The 15,382-nt window shown below is 45.0% G+C and overlaps 1 protein-coding gene and 1 long non-coding RNA gene across 2 annotated transcripts, besides 9 other annotated features; one reads left to right on the top strand and one right to left on the bottom strand.

Moving 5' to 3' along the window:
- Positions 1-616: an enhancer, noted in NCBI's record as "H3K27ac-H3K4me1 hESC enhancer chr5:94955347-94955962 (GRCh37/hg19 assembly coordinates)". NCBI's record gives its function as "activates a minimal SCP1, AML or CMV promoter by ChIP-STARR-seq in primed H9 embryonic stem cells {active_cell/tissue: H9 hESC(primed)}" and the evidence as "EXISTENCE:reporter gene assay evidence [ECO:0000049][PMID:30033119]".
- On the top strand, positions 445-2,500 carry GPR150 (G protein-coupled receptor 150). Its single transcript, NM_199243.3, has one exon. It carries the CDS (start codon positions 634-636, stop codon positions 1,936-1,938), a length of 1,305 nt encoding a protein of 434 aa, NP_954713.1. The 5' UTR covers positions 445-633; the 3' UTR covers positions 1,939-2,500.
- Positions 786-1,185: a silencer, noted in NCBI's record as "silent region_16182". NCBI's record gives its function as "represses an Ori minimal core promoter by ATAC-STARR-seq in GM12878 lymphoblastoid cells {active_cell/tissue: GM12878}" and the evidence as "EXISTENCE:reporter gene assay evidence [ECO:0000049][PMID:35858748]".
- Positions 1,276-1,325: a silencer, noted in NCBI's record as "silent region_16183". NCBI's record gives its function as "represses an Ori minimal core promoter by ATAC-STARR-seq in GM12878 lymphoblastoid cells {active_cell/tissue: GM12878}" and the evidence as "EXISTENCE:reporter gene assay evidence [ECO:0000049][PMID:35858748]".
- Positions 1,343-1,637: a silencer, noted in NCBI's record as "tiled region #2204; HepG2 Repressive DNase matched - State 4:PromP, and K562 Repressive non-DNase unmatched - State 23:Low". NCBI's record gives its function as "represses a minimal TATA promoter and a strong SV40 promoter by Sharpr-MPRA in HepG2 and K562 cells {active_cell/tissue: HepG2 | K562}" and the evidence as "EXISTENCE:reporter gene assay evidence [ECO:0000049][PMID:27701403]".
- Positions 1,343-1,795: a biological region, named in NCBI's record as "Sharpr-MPRA regulatory region 2204".
- Positions 1,346-1,795: a silencer, noted in NCBI's record as "silent region_16184". NCBI's record gives its function as "represses an Ori minimal core promoter by ATAC-STARR-seq in GM12878 lymphoblastoid cells {active_cell/tissue: GM12878}" and the evidence as "EXISTENCE:reporter gene assay evidence [ECO:0000049][PMID:35858748]".
- Positions 1,813-2,312: an enhancer, noted in NCBI's record as "H3K4me1 hESC enhancer chr5:94957159-94957658 (GRCh37/hg19 assembly coordinates)". NCBI's record gives its function as "activates a minimal SCP1, AML or CMV promoter by ChIP-STARR-seq in primed H9 embryonic stem cells {active_cell/tissue: H9 hESC(primed)}" and the evidence as "EXISTENCE:reporter gene assay evidence [ECO:0000049][PMID:30033119]".
- Positions 2,016-2,075: a silencer, noted in NCBI's record as "silent region_16185". NCBI's record gives its function as "represses an Ori minimal core promoter by ATAC-STARR-seq in GM12878 lymphoblastoid cells {active_cell/tissue: GM12878}" and the evidence as "EXISTENCE:reporter gene assay evidence [ECO:0000049][PMID:35858748]".
- Positions 2,501-3,210: 710 nt separating the features above from the next.
- Positions 3,211-12,698, bottom strand: LOC112267933 (uncharacterized). Its single transcript, XR_002956221.2, has 3 exons — positions 12,560-12,698; positions 3,724-3,799; positions 3,211-3,393 (listed from the first exon to the last, which is right to left on the bottom strand). It is a non-coding gene; the product is annotated as an uncharacterized LOC112267933 (long non-coding RNA).
- Positions 12,409-12,558: an enhancer, noted in NCBI's record as "active region_22798". NCBI's record gives its function as "activates an Ori minimal core promoter by ATAC-STARR-seq in GM12878 lymphoblastoid cells {active_cell/tissue: GM12878}" and the evidence as "EXISTENCE:reporter gene assay evidence [ECO:0000049][PMID:35858748]".
- Positions 12,699-15,382: the final 2,684 nt, after the last annotated feature.

The raw sequence follows: 15,382 nt of genomic DNA on the forward strand, positions 1-15,382 counted from the left end.
TCCTCTTTGCTCAAAACGCTGTTAGGTTTCTTGTGTTCCTGTTTTTCTCATGCTCGTGCAGATCCATGGCATTTCAAACCTTTAAAATAAAAACTAATGTCTTTTCTATTTTTTTCCTACTGGCAATCACATTGGGGTGGTGGGGGCGTGTGGTACAATCTCAGTCAAGAGGTCCTCTCTTGTGTGGGTGCTGGCATAACACTGGCCGTATACAATGGCCAAGCAAAGCGACATTCTGTCCTGCTGTGCTTTACACGTAAATAGAGAATGGATGAGGTTCTCAGCGCCCAGGGGTCCGCGGCTTCCGCGAGGGTAGCGTCGGGGGCCGCTGCAGAGATTGGAAGAGTACCCGCCGGGAATGGGAGGGAAGACGCGGGGAAGGTGGAGAATAGGAATCATGTGTGTTCCTCGAGTGTACAACCCACATTTGAGTGACAAATCACGAGGACAATCGACAAAAACAACTAAGCGCAAAGCCGCCCGAATCCATCTCCCTCTCTGTGCGTGTGCCTTTTCAACTAACTTTGGGAACTCGTATAGACCCAGCGTCGCTCCCCGCGCCGCCTCGCCTCCACTTTGGTTTCCCGCGTCCTGCCCGCCCTCTTCGGTGCCTCCTCTTCCTCCGGGACAAGGATGGAGGATCTCTTTAGCCCCTCAATTCTGCCGCCGGCGCCCAACATTTCCGTGCCCATCTTGCTGGGCTGGGGTCTCAACCTGACCTTGGGGCAAGGAGCCCCTGCCTCTGGGCCGCCCAGCCGCCGCGTCCGCCTGGTGTTCCTGGGGGTCATCCTGGTGGTGGCGGTGGCAGGCAACACCACAGTGCTGTGCCGCCTGTGCGGCGGCGGCGGGCCCTGGGCGGGCCCCAAGCGTCGCAAGATGGACTTCCTGCTGGTGCAGCTGGCCCTGGCGGACCTGTACGCGTGCGGGGGCACGGCGCTGTCACAGCTGGCCTGGGAACTGCTGGGCGAGCCCCGCGCGGCCACGGGGGACCTGGCGTGCCGCTTCCTGCAGCTGCTGCAGGCATCCGGGCGGGGCGCCTCGGCCCACCTCGTGGTGCTCATCGCCCTCGAGCGCCGGCGCGCGGTGCGTCTTCCGCACGGCCGGCCGCTGCCCGCGCGTGCCCTCGCCGCCCTGGGCTGGCTGCTGGCACTGCTGCTGGCGCTGCCCCCGGCCTTCGTGGTGCGCGGGGACTCCCCCTCGCCGCTGCCGCCGCCGCCGCCGCCAACGTCCCTGCAGCCAGGCGCGCCCCCGGCCGCCCGCGCCTGGCCGGGGGAGCGTCGCTGCCACGGGATCTTCGCGCCCCTGCCGCGCTGGCACCTGCAGGTCTACGCGTTCTACGAGGCCGTCGCGGGCTTCGTCGCGCCTGTTACGGTCCTGGGCGTCGCTTGCGGCCACCTACTCTCCGTCTGGTGGCGGCACCGGCCGCAGGCCCCCGCGGCTGCAGCGCCCTGGTCGGCGAGCCCAGGTCGAGCCCCTGCGCCCAGCGCGCTGCCCCGCGCCAAGGTGCAGAGCCTGAAGATGAGCCTGCTGCTGGCGCTGCTGTTCGTGGGCTGCGAGCTGCCCTACTTTGCCGCCCGGCTGGCGGCCGCGTGGTCGTCCGGGCCCGCGGGAGACTGGGAGGGAGAGGGCCTGTCGGCGGCGCTGCGCGTGGTGGCGATGGCCAACAGCGCTCTCAATCCCTTCGTCTACCTCTTCTTCCAGGCGGGCGACTGCCGGCTCCGGCGACAGCTGCGGAAGCGGCTGGGCTCTCTGTGCTGCGCGCCGCAGGGAGGCGCGGAGGACGAGGAGGGGCCCCGGGGCCACCAGGCGCTCTACCGCCAACGCTGGCCCCACCCTCATTATCACCATGCTCGGCGGGAACCGCTGGACGAGGGCGGCTTGCGCCCACCCCCTCCGCGCCCCAGACCCCTGCCTTGCTCCTGCGAAAGTGCCTTCTAGGTGCTTGGTGGTCAGAGACGGGTCATCTGTCGCTAAGGCGCAACCTCCAGGGAACTCGAGGCCTGCCAGGGTCTGTCCAGATCACAAGGGGCAGGAGAGTCTGTGAGAGAGTGACACTGAAGTTGTCCCCTTCCTCCACTCTCCTATTCCCTTCTCATGTTTACATTTCCCTATGCTCTTCCAGTTTCTCTTCTTCCCTACAGTTCCTCTCATATCTCCCCATTTGGAGACAGTGAGCCACTGGAAAGTTGTAAAAACAAAAACAGTTATTTTTGCAGTTTTCTTTCACGCATTTATAGTGCTCTGGATAATGCCATTTATTTTTGCTGATTACCCAACTTTCAGTATTTGCTGTGTTATCATCTGTATTTACTTATTTTGAATCGTGCTTAAATCAAATGTACCTTCAGCACCTGCAAGTTTGCCTTTTCTTTCCAGGAGGAAAATCCCCACGTTGCTCTCCCTGGGGAGTCTGAGAATTATACCAGTGCTGTCAGAAATGTAATCATGCTGTCATTTCAGAGCCACAGAGTATTTATAAAATAAAAACCTTTCCCACGGAGCAATTGGGACTTTTTTTTTTTTAACATAGTAATGTATTTTCTCAGAAGAAAATCAGCGTGGCCTTTATTTCCAGTCTAGTTTCCACTTCAACAGAAGCTGAGGTTGTAGGAAGGAAACAAAAGCTTGACTTGGTGTCTTTCAAATATACTTGGTTTCTGTTGGAAATCGTCCCTGTGCCCCCAGCAGCCTCTAAAGGTGTAATGCTATGCCCAGATGGAGCCTCTCCGTACAAAGTCCCCAGCAAACCAGAGAAAGGAAGCTTCAAGGTGGTGCATATGGGTGGGGCTCAGTGTCCCAGATGGAGCCTCAAAGAGATTTGCAGCTAGGAAGGAAGTCAAAACCTCAGAATGCTGCATGTGTATATAAAACTCCCTTGTTAAAAAAATGAATTCAATGCCTGTTGGTGTGGATAGCTGAGAACAAGGTCAAGAGCGGATTTGATCAGTAACCTCTTCCTCTCAACTGTTCTTGGTTCTAGACAGAAGTGGCAGCACTTATGAACAATATATCCATGGGTTTATCAGTGATTTTTGTATGAGGATCTAAAGCTTTCCATTATAGTGTTTCTTGTTCATGCACAAATGCAGACCTAAGATGCAGAAAGGGGAAATGATTGTTTAAAGCTCTTTGTAGAGCCAATGCTGAGGGCTGTTTTGTTCACTAATATATTCCAAATGCTTAAACAATGCTTGACATGTAGTAGGCTCTCAATATATATTTGTTGAACAATTCATCATGTGAGTTAGAGATAGAACAAATAAAAGATATACGAAAGAAAATCTTTACTAAGCTTTCTTTACCTTCCTCCAAAATTTTGACAGCAGATGTTCCAGAGTTGTAGCTTTTCCTTCCTCTCTTTGTTCCTCCTTACCCTGTTGAGGATGCAATGGTCTGCAAAATACCAGGAATAAATCAGCCAAAGAGAGGATACAGTTGTCTTCATGAACCCAAGTCTAGATTATACCATTATTTATTCATTAATAAACATTTATTACCTGCTTATTTTGTGCCAGTTAATAAGCTAGGCATTGGAGATGCTGAGATGAATAAGTCACATTTTTCCCTCAAAGACGTTATAGTCAAATGTAGGAAACAATCTGACAATTACACTGCAGTGTCACCTGTGTTATAACAGGGGAATTCAGTCAGGGTGCCAGAAGAACTGAAGAGGAGAATCTGACAATCTTGGGGGACTATGAGGGGACATTAGGAAAGACTCACCAAAAGAAGCTCTTGAAGGCTGGTTTGGGGGTGACCCTTCAGGTCAGGAAAGGTGTTCTAGGCAACGGGAATAGCACTGCAAAGCATAGAAGAGACAGAACATAGCATAGTCAAGTAATGACAATAGCTTTAGGGTGCCTTTGGGGCCTGACCTAATGAGATACGTGGTCAGAGAAATTCAGCCTGGCCCCAGTGAAGACAGGTCTGTGTGCCAAGCCAAGAAAGCAAAAAGTAGCCTTTGAAGAATTTAATCAGTTATAATTTGACCCAATTTCAATTTTAGAAAGGTCATCTCAATGATGGCATGAAGGATCACCAAATGGAAGGGTAGGGGGGAATTCTTAGATGAGAAATCAAGGCAGAATCTCAGAGAGTCTTCAGAATACGATTCCTAATGTTGGACCACTTCGAATGCGCTCAAGAGAGATAATAAATTTAAAGCAGCTGAGACAGGTTTTCTGTTTTCTGCAGTTAAGACTACCCTAACAGAAAAGCTTACTCAGCTGGCTTCAACTTATTATTTCACATGACAAGAAGTCTGGTGGTAGGGCTGTGCCAGGGTTGGTTAAGTAAGTAGCTCAACTTCATAATCAAGGGCTGTGACGGTTAATTTTATGTGTCAACTTGACTGGGTTAAGGGATGCTCAGATAGCTGGTAAAACATCATTTCTGGGTGTGCCTGTGAGGGTGTTTCCAGAAGAAATTAACATTCAAATCGTAGACTGAGTGAAGAAGATCAATCCTCACCAGAGGTGGCAAGCATCATCCCATCTGTTGAGGGCCCACCCAAATAGAACAAAAAGACAAAGGAAATGTGAATCCTCTCTCTCTCTTCTTGGGCTGCGACACCCATCTTCTCTTGTCCTTGGACAGTTCACTTCTGTTCTTGGGCCTTCAAACTCCAGGATTTATACCAGCAGCACAAACCCCCACAGCCCCCATTCTCAGGCCTTCAGACTCAGACTAAATTTTACCACCAGCTTTCCTGGTTCTCCAGCTTGCAGACAGTATATGGTAGGACTTTTGGGCCTTCATGGTCACGTGAGCCAATTCCCGTAATACATCTCCTCTTATATATCTATATAAATGCTATTGGTTCTGTTTTTCTGGAGCAGCCTCACTCATACAAGGGCTCAGATCCTTTTCCTCTTTCCAGTCTGCCATCTTGAGTGGTGGACTTGACACTCAGGCCAGTTCCCCTTGAGGTCACAAAATGGCTGCTGCAATTCCAGGCATCACATTCAAATGTAACAATGTCCAGAAGAAGAAGGATTTCTCTTTTTTGTACCCTTTATAGAAATGAAACAACATGTCTCAGAAGTCCCCAGTAGACTCTCCTAAATGGCTCATTTGCCAGAACTATATCACATGTCCATATTTAGACCTATCATTGCAAGAGAAATGGGGCCACCATGATTGGCTTGAACATGGAACTGAGCATATGAATTGTATTGAGGGAGGGATGAAAAAACTGAGGCTCTACAGTAAAGAAAGAAGAGGAAATGCTAGTTAAAAAGGCAAGAATAAAACTTTTAAACTATTGCAAAAGTGTTATCTAGATTGGTTTTTACAATACAACAGGGGTATTCAGCTCATTGTTACCTAGAAATTTTGAGAATTCTTCATCTGGGTTGGAAATATAGAATACCAACTCAAGAAGTTAATTTGAAATCCGATTAAACTGATGTTTTCCTAGATTTTGTAGATTTAGTTAAGCCCAATTTATACGGAAATGCTTCTCTTCTTTAAGCAAGGAATTTCCTCTAATTTTAACCATATCTGAAACTTGAATACATAACTAGATGACTTGGTTCCCATCCCTGGAGGCATTTGTAGGTTAGGAAATTTGAGATATTTCCTCAGGATGGCCATCCTATTTGTGTTGACCCTAATCTGCATTTCTAGAGGCAACACAGAGATTCAGCTGTGTCCTAGTCAAGGAGGCCCCTGAAGGTTATTCAGATTTAGACTCTTGCTAGAGTAGAACATAATATTCACATCACACAGCAAAGGCAAATACACAGGTTGACCCCGAAATTGCTCTCTTTTCTAGGTTATCACCCAAATAGGAAACGACTAGAAGAGAAACCAGATCTACACACTTGCAGTTTGGAAGAAATCAAAGTTGCCCTATAAAATAGAGACAAACCATTCCTCTATTCTCTACATTTTTTGGAGTTAGATTTTAACCAAACTACTGCACACAGGACTTCAGGGAGCACTTTTCATATTGATGAAGATGTGAACATCACCAGCAGAACTGAGCAATGTGGTGGTCCTGATTTTATAGAACTTTAAAGACTAAATGCAAAGAATTCTACATCTTAAAGAAAAACCTCAGTAACATAAGGCCAAAATAAGTAAATGTGACTTATGTTGTAATTTGAAATGCAAAGAATGCAGAAAACATCCAGGAGTAATAAACCACACTAGTGATTAGTTATAAACAATATTCAAAAAATAGAATAGTCTGGCTTATCTTGTGGAAGACAGATTTAAAGCATTTTTTTCTAAGGTATGTCCTAAGAAACACAGAAGATGTTAGAAAATTTGAGGAGTTTGCCTTCTATTCCTAAAAATGTTCTGACTTGATCAAAGGGAAAATATTCTAATAAAAATGAATTGTTCTTCTTAAATTAAAATATATTTTGCTGAGTTGGGAGGCAATATAATATTATGAAAAGAGTAGAATATTCAGAGTCTAAAGACCTGAACTTGACTTTCATCTGTACAGTTAGTAGCTGTGTGACTTCAGGCGGTTTGCTGAATATTTTTGAGTCTTGGTTTTCTCATCAAGAAAATAGGAGTTAATACTATGTCCTTCATAGGATAATGTACGCAAAATATTTGATTGGGTGGAGGTAAGGGGAATCTAGGTTTGTTTCTTCAGATTCCCTCAATACATGATAGCTAATGTTATTTTCTAATACTGGCTATGAGGGATAAAAATCCAATTGAATAATATTACATGAAGGAAAGCAATAGATCTTGGAGAATTGTCATGGAAAATTAATGCAGCAATGGTAGTACTTAAAAGTAGGGAGTTGGGCCTTACAGAAGGAGTAGTGGGCATTGTTCATTGCCTTCCTAGCATTTATTTCTCCTTTTCTGACAGTTCTCAGATTCTTATTAGAATGTCTATACCTTTTATAAAAAGTCAGCACTTTGAGGAAACCTCGGTGCTCTCCAACTCCAAGACTGTGACTTGATTAGTCCATGCCACTGGAGTAATTTCTCATCCCTCTCGCCACCATATCTCGCTCAGGAATGGTCATGGGATGCAATGAGAGTGAGGGAAGTTTTTTAGGGAATCTAGGAAGGAATCTTTTAACTCTTCTGGGAAAGCCATAGAAGTTAGCATGTTCAATGTCTGTTCACACTAAAGGTAAATGAGGGAGCATGTAACCCTAATGGCTGCTGGCAGCCACTTCTCACCAAGAGGGAAGCCAGCCACAAGAGTAAGTCAACATTGTGGATATGGCAAAGTGGAGAGATGAAAAGAACTTAGGTCCTTAATGAACTCACTGTGCTGACAAGACCAAACGCTACTGAGGCCTGGCTATTGGATGTCCTAGGAAATAAGCCAATACAATTTCTTATTGCTTAAAGCAGTTGAGTTGAATTTTTTGTTATTTGTAGCACAAAGCAATCTCTAACTGAAGTAGAAGTTTGGCAAGAAAAAGAGAGTCCCATTTTAGCCTATTGCATAATGGCTTATGTTCTTTATCAAAAAATAGGAATATTCCAAGTATACTTTTATTTAGTCCATCAACCAGTATGTACTGAGGCACTGCATTGGACATTGCATTGGGCACAATGGGACAAATCCGAGAAAATCCGTTACAACTCTCACATTTTAAAAGCTATGTATTCTACAAAGAACCATAATTTTTATGATAAGCATTTTGTTGAGAAACCTCAACCTACAGTTATTATTATTTTTATTTTTAGAGACAGGGTCTCACTCTGTCACTCAGGCTGGAGTGTGGTGGGGCAATCACATAACACTTCAGTCTTGAACTCCTGGGCTCAGGCAATGCTTCAACCTCAGCCTCCTGAGTACCTGGGATTGCAAGTGTGAGCCACTGTGCCTGGCTTCAACCTACAATTATTAATGTTACAGAATATTATTTGCAAACTCTTTCTATTGCTAATTTTATTAATTAACTCATTCAATTATTTGATACTTATAAAGATTCATTCTATGCAAAGCACTATATGACCTTTATTACATACATAGATATATATCACTTATCACAGATACATGTTTCATTTAAAAGTAGCTTTTGAGTGAAAACTTAGGACCAACTATTGCTATTATGCTGCCCTTTTCCATGGCCAGATTGGAAAGTGACAATAATAAAATGTGATGGGGTAGTGTATTAGTTCATTCTCTTACCACTGTAAAGAAATACCTGAAGCTTGGTAATTTATAAAGAAAGAGGTTTAATTGGCTCACAGTTCTACAGGCTGTACAGGGAGCACAGTGGGGAGACCACAGGAAACTTACAATCTGCTCCTGGGGAGACCTCATGAAACTTACAATCGTGGAGGAAGGCAAAGGAGAAGTAGGCACATCTTACATGACTGGAGCACGAGCAAGAGAGAGAGTAGGGGAGGTGCTGCACACTTTTAAACAACCAGATCTCATGAGAACTCATTCACTACACAGTACCAATGGGGGATGGTACTAAACCATTCATGAGAACTCTGCCCCCATGGTCCAATAACCTCGCAGCAGGCCCTACCTTCAACATTGGGAAATACAATTCAACATGAGATTTGGTGGGAACACAGATCCAAACCATATCATTCCACCTCTCGCCCCTCCAAATCTTATGTCATTCTCACATTGCAAAATATAATCATGCCTTCCCAACAGTCCCCCAAAGTTTTAACTCATTCAAGCATTAACTCAGAAGTCCAAAGTTTCATCTGAGATAAGGCAAGTTCCTTCTTCCTATGAGCCTATAAAATCAAAAACGAGTTAATTACTAGCAAGATACAATAGTGGTAAAAGCACTGGGTAAATATTTCCCTTCCAAAAGGGAGAGATCAGCCAAAAGAAAGGGGCTACAAGCCCCATGCAAGTCCAAAACCCAGCAGGGCTGTCATTACATCTTAAAGCTCCAAAATAATCTCCTTTGACTGACTCCATGTCCCACATCCAGAGCACATTGATGCCAGGGATGGGCTCCCAAGGCCTTGGGCAGCTCTGCCTCTGTGGCTTTTCAGGATTCAGCCCCTGCAGCTGTTCTTAAGGGCTGGCATTGAGTGTCTGTGGCTTCTCTGGGCACAGAGTACAAGCAGTCAGTTGCTTTACCATCCTGGGGTCTGGAGGATGGTGGCCCTCTTCTCAAAGCTCCATTAGCAGTGCCCCACTGGGGACTGCGTGGAGGCTCCAACCCCACATTTCCCCTCTGTACTTCCTTAGTAGAGGTTCTCAGTAAGGGCTCTGCCCCTGCAGCAGGTTTCTTCTTGGACATCCAGGCTTCTCCATACACGGTCTGAAATCTAGGCAGAGGCTCCCAAGCCTCAACTCTTGCATTCTGTGCACTCACAGGGTTAATACCATGTGGAAGCCACCAAGGCTTACAGCTTGCACCCTCTGAAGCAGCAGCCTGAGCTGTGTCTGGGCCCCTTTTAGCCATGACTAGAGCTGGGGCAGCTGGGATGCAGGGAGTAGTGTCCTTAGGCTGTGCAGGGCAGGGGGACCCTGAACCTGGCCCAGGAATTCATTCAGTCCTCCTCGGCCTCTGGGCCTGTAATGGGAAGGGCTGCCACAAGATCTGAAATGCCTTTGAGGCCTTTCCCCTATTGTCTTGGCTATCAGCACTTGCCTTCCTTTTAGTTATGCAAATTTCTGCAGGCTGCTTGAATTCCTCCCCTGAAAATGGGCTTTTCTTTTCTATCACATGGCCAGGCTACAAATTCTCCAAACTTTTACACTCTGCTTCCCTTTTGAATATAAGGTCCAGTTTCAGGTCATTTATTTGCTCATACATATAAGCACAGGTTGTTAAAAGCAGCAAGGTCACATTTCTAAGCTGCTTAGAAATTTCTTCCACTAGATACCCTAAATCATTACTCTCAAGTTAGAAGTTTCACTGCTCCATCGGGAAGGGGCACAATGCCTCCAAGTTTTTTGCTAAAGCATAACAAAAGTAACCTTTGCTCCAGTTCCCAATAGGTTCCTCATTTCCATCTGAGGTCTCTTCAGCCTGGACTTCATTGTCCATATTACTATCAGCACTTTGGTCACAAAAGTCACTAGGAAGTTCCAAATTTTCCTTCATCTTCCTGTCTTCTTCTGAGCCCTCCAAACTGTTTCAATCTCTGCCCATTACCCAGTTCCAAAGCTGTTTCCACATTTTCAGGTATCTTTATAGCAATCCCCGACTCATGATACCAATTTTCTGTACTAGTCCATTCTTGCACTGCTATAAAGAAACACCTGAGGCCGGGCATGGTGGCTCACACCTATAATCCCAGCACTTTGGGAAGCCGAGGTGGGCGGATCACCTGAGGTCGGGAGTTTGAGACCAGCCTGACCAACATAGAGAAACCCCAACTCTACTAAAATACAAAATTAGCCGGGCGTGGTGGCACATGCCTGTAATCTCAGCTACTTGGGAGGCTGAGGCAGAAGAATTGCTTGAACCCAGAAGGCAGAGGTTGCAGTGAGCAGAGATTGTGCCGTTGCACTCCAGCCTGGGCAACAAGAGCAAAACTCCGTCTCAAAAAAAAGAAAAGAAATACCTGAGACTGGGTAGTTTATAAAGAAAAGAGGTTTAATTGGCTTATGGTTCTGCAGGCTGTACAGGGAGCACAGTGACTTCTTTTCTGGGGAGGCCTCAGGAAACTTACAATCATGGCAGGAGGTGAAGGAGAAGCAGTCACATTTTACATGGCTGGAGCCGGAGCAAGAGAGAGAGTGGGGAGGTGCTGCACACTTAAACAACTAGATCTTGTGAGAAATCACACACTATACAATACCAAGGGGGATGGCTTTAAACCATTCATAAGAACTCCACCTCCATGATCCGATCACCTCCCACAAGGCCCCACCTTCAACACTGGGGAATATAATTCAATGTGAGATTTGGTGGGGGCACAGATCCAAACCATATTAGGTAGATTATTACAGTAATGGCCCCCAATGAATAACTCCTCCTAATACCCACTCTTGGGTAATCTTTCCTCACACGTAGTCTGAATTTGGTCATGTGACCTTCTTTGGCCAATGGGGCATTGTGTACAGATGTTTCACAAGTAGGAACTCAATAAACATTTATACATGACAGCTTGCCCTTTCAGAAAAGCTGATGTGACATTGTCATGCTATGAAGACCATGTGGAAACAGAGGCCTAACCACTCAGCCATCCCAGCTGGGCATAGCCTCCAACTGACTCTCCAGCTATTAATAAGTGCACCCGCGTGAGTGGGCCCAGGGGAGATCAACAGAAGAACTGTTGAGTTAACACACAGAACTGTGAGACATAATAAATCATTTTAAGCCGGTAAGTTTCAGGGTGGTTTGTTTCACAGCAAAAGGTAACTAAATAATCGATAGACTGGTAAAATGGTGGTGAATGCATTAAAAAAGGGAGTCAGAAAACCCAGATTTCAGAAGACCTGGATTCTAGTCTCCAATAACATGTCAAATTGGGATGTTTAACTGCTTATCATATAATTTGATGAGATTTCACACCAATAATGAAATGCGAGAGCTCCAAGGGGAAGGTTAAATTCAAGGGATAGAGTCAGGCCCTAACCAAATCCCCTTTTTTTCTTGTGATGAAGCTCCTGCTATTGACATACTTTAGCAGTTCTAGTATTGTTGTATTAAGCAAGATATTCAATAGGAATAATAATAATTGTTAAAATAATTAAATAGGAAGCCATTAGATTGATGTGTCTCTGATGCCCTGGGTTCCTACTTAAGCAAACCAAAAGCTAACTTAGAATTTAAAAGAAAATGAAACTGGAGCTCAGCCAATTACAAGAGGCCAACTGGGCATTAGTCATATTGTCTTGAACTTCCCACTGGGATAATCCAAATGAGGCAACTGCTTAAACTTTTACCAATAAAATAATTTCTTTGCTCTGCTTCTGCATTCACCCTATAAAGGGCTTCCCCTTGAACCCTTTCAGAAGAGCCCAAGCCACTGTCAGTTTGGAGCTGCCTGACTCATGAATCACTGTCTGCCTAAATAAACTCGAAAATTGTAATGTGCCAAAGTTTATCTTTTAACATAATCCTAATAGCTAAAATGTGTTAAATGATTTCTATGAAGCAGGTATATGCTTGACACTTTACAACCATTAACTAATTTAATCTTCATAGCAACCTGAAAGGCATATATCATAATCATCTCCAGTTTACACATAAGGATACAGATAAACAATTGGGGCTAAAGATAACTTGCTCAGCCTGTGTCATGTGCTTCCCCACCTCCTCTGAAAAGATAATAGCCAAGAAGTCAATCGTATCTTAAGCTACAGGTCTTGCTTTATAACCCTATGTATCTGTTAAAGTCTCAGCCAGGACACACAGTGAGAGAGTATTGGATAGAACATGGCTACCTGAAGAGCAAAATGCATTTTAGAAAAACAGTATACAATTATGTTAAGCATTTTCATCATTTCAACCCCCAAACAATCCAAGTAAATGATTCATTTGCTGGAAATGGAGAAGAATGTCAGCTGTCCACCAAAATCCATTCTCCCTTTCTTATGCACTGCTTGGCCAGAGACTACATTTCCCAGCCTACTTTTTACTTAGCTATAGCTGCATGGCTCAGTTCTCAGCAACAGGATATGAGCAAAAGTTACCAGTGTGTCTTCCGGGGTTGGCCTCCTTCATGTTCTCTTTCCCTTTCCTGTTGGCCAGAACACATGATGTGACAGTCACACACTGTGGCAGTGACTCAGGTTCAACCATGCAGATGAGGACAGCATGCTAGTGCTAGAGTAGTAGCTGGGCAGACAAGAACAGGGCAGGAGAGGCCCCCTGCCAGGAATGTCAGGTGATCATCAGATGATAGTCAGGTGTTTGTTAAGTTGTCTCACTAAAATAATAATTGGGCACACCCACCACCAGGGAAAGGCGGTCTCTTAGCAGATAGAAAACACCTGAACTCGTGATCAGCAGCTTCCTGAAAAAGATCTCAGAAGTTGGGCAAGCGGGCTCAAGCATGTTCACTAAGGCAAAATGGGGGAGTTGAACTAATATAAGACCTTCCTCTAGGAACACCTGACTGGTATGGGAAAAATGCCTCAAATGAGCATGTGCACAACTTCAGTAAACACACTGTACATGCTGAGAGCCTGCTCCAAGGAAAAATCAAGGGAGAAGAAACACAAATCTCAGAACCATGACAATGTATAGAAACCCCAAGTCAAGTGTCGAACAGAGCGCTTGGTTCTCTCTCTCTCTCTCTTTTTTTTTTTTTATTATACTTTAAGTTCTAGGGTACATGTGCACAATGTGCAGGTTTGTTACATACGTATACATGTGCCATGTTGGTGTGCTGCACCCATTAACTCGTCATTTGCATTAGGTATATCTCCTAATGCTATCCCTCCCCACTCCCCCCACCCAACAAGGGGCCCCAGTGTGTGATGTTCCCCTTCCTGTGTCCAAGTGTTCTCATTGTTCAGTTCCCACCTATGAGTGAGAACATGCAGTGTTTGGTTTTCTGTCCTTATGATAGTTTGCTCAGAATGATGGTTTCCAGTTTCATCCATGTCCCTACAAAGGACATGAACTCAACATTTTTTATGGCTGCATAGTATTCCATGGTGTATATGTGCCACATTTTCTTAATCCAGTCTATCATTGATGGGCATTTGGGTTGGTTCCAAGTCTTTGCTATTGTGAATAGTGCCACAGTAAACATACGTGTGCATGTGTCTTTATAGCAGCATGATTTATAATCCGCTGGGTATATACCCAGTAATGGGATGGCTGGGTCAAATGGTATTTCTAGGTCTAGATCCCTGAGGAATTGCCACACTGTCTTCCACAATGGTTGAACTAGTTTACAGTCCCACCAACGGTGTAAAAGTGTTCCTATTTCTCCATATCCTCTCCAGCATCTGTTGTTTCCTGACTTTTTAATGATCACCATTCTAACTGGTGTGAGATGGTATCTCATTGTGGTTTTGATTTGCATTTCTCTGATGGCCAGTGATGATGAGCATTTTTTCATGTGTCTGTTGGCTGCATAAATGTCTTATTTTGAGGAGTGTCTATTCATATCCTTCACCCACTTGTTGATGGGGGCACTTGGATCTCTCAAGTTGCCCACTGGGCCCTTTTCCAAGCGTACTTCGCTTCCTTTTGTTCCTGCTCTGCAACTTTTTAATAAAATTTCATTCCTGCTCTAAACTTTGTCTCAGCCTCTCACTCTGCCTTATGCCCCTTGGCGAAATTCTTTCCTTTGAGGAGGCAAGAATTGAGTTGGTGCAGATGCATATAGATTTGCTACTGCTAACACTGGGAGCTAGCAGAGTAACAACATAAAAGGAGTCTGGATTACTCCAGGATTTTGTGGAGTGGAGATAGCCTAAACAGGCAAGAAGATCACATGAGAAAGAAATGCTTTCATATCTTCTTTAAGCCACTGACTTTTGTGGGTCTGTTTGTTACAACAGATTTACTTTTTTTTTTTTTTGAGACAGTGTCACTTAGGGTGGAGTACAGTGGCGCCATCTCAGCTCACTGCAGTCTCAACTTCCCAGGCTCAGGTGATTCTCTCACCTCAGCCTCCCAAGTAGTTGGAACCACAGTCATGTGCCACTAGGTGCAGCTACTTTTTTGTATTTTTTTGTAGAGAGGGAGTTTTGCCTTGTTGTCCAGGCTGGTCTCAAGCCCGTAGGCTCAAGTAATCCTCCCTCCTCGACCTTCCAAAGTGCTAGGATTACAGGCAAGAGCCATCATGCCAGGCCCCAGATTAGCCTTCATCTCAAATAATATTTTAAGTTGTTAAATTCAATGAGGGTATGGGTTTTTTCTTCAGTGTTTTGTCCCAGGGACCCTGTGTGTGTTCCAGGACAGGTTGGTGTGAATTCAGGCGAACCCATGTCTACAATGTGAAACTTCTCAGAGGTGAGAGGTGGCTGTAGCCAAATCATGCCTGTGGGATATATCTTATATTTGCCCCTAAGGAAGTTATTTAACCTCAGGAGACACCTTTCTTTCTTTCTTTTTTCTTTTTTTTTTTTTTTTCCATCTAAAAGCTGGGAATGTTAAAGAAACCTCATGTCCACAGATAACAGTTCAGGAGCAGGCATCAGAAATGTGGCAGGCTCTGTATTGCCCACGTTAGCAGCCATTACTCTCCTGCCCTGCTAACAAACCCTGATTTTATTCAGGATCAACGTGTTCAGTTATCTGTTGTTGTGTAGCATAATATCTCAAACTTTGTGGTATAAAATAACCACCATTTTATTATGTCCATGGATTCTGTGGAGCAGAAGTTTAGACAGAGTACAGAAGTCTGGCTTGTTTCTGTTCCATGATACATGGGGCCTCGGCAGCGAAGACTGAAATGGCTGGGGCTGGAATCACCTAGGAGCTTCTTCACTTGTATGTCTGGTGCCTGGGCTGGTGTATTCAAAAGCTGGGCTTATTGGGAACTATCGACCAGAACA

The sequence above is a fragment of the Homo sapiens genome, chromosome 5, assembly GCF_000001405.40.
Source record: "Homo sapiens chromosome 5, GRCh38.p14 Primary Assembly".
Taxonomy (NCBI): Eukaryota; Metazoa; Chordata; class Mammalia; order Primates; family Hominidae; genus Homo; species Homo sapiens.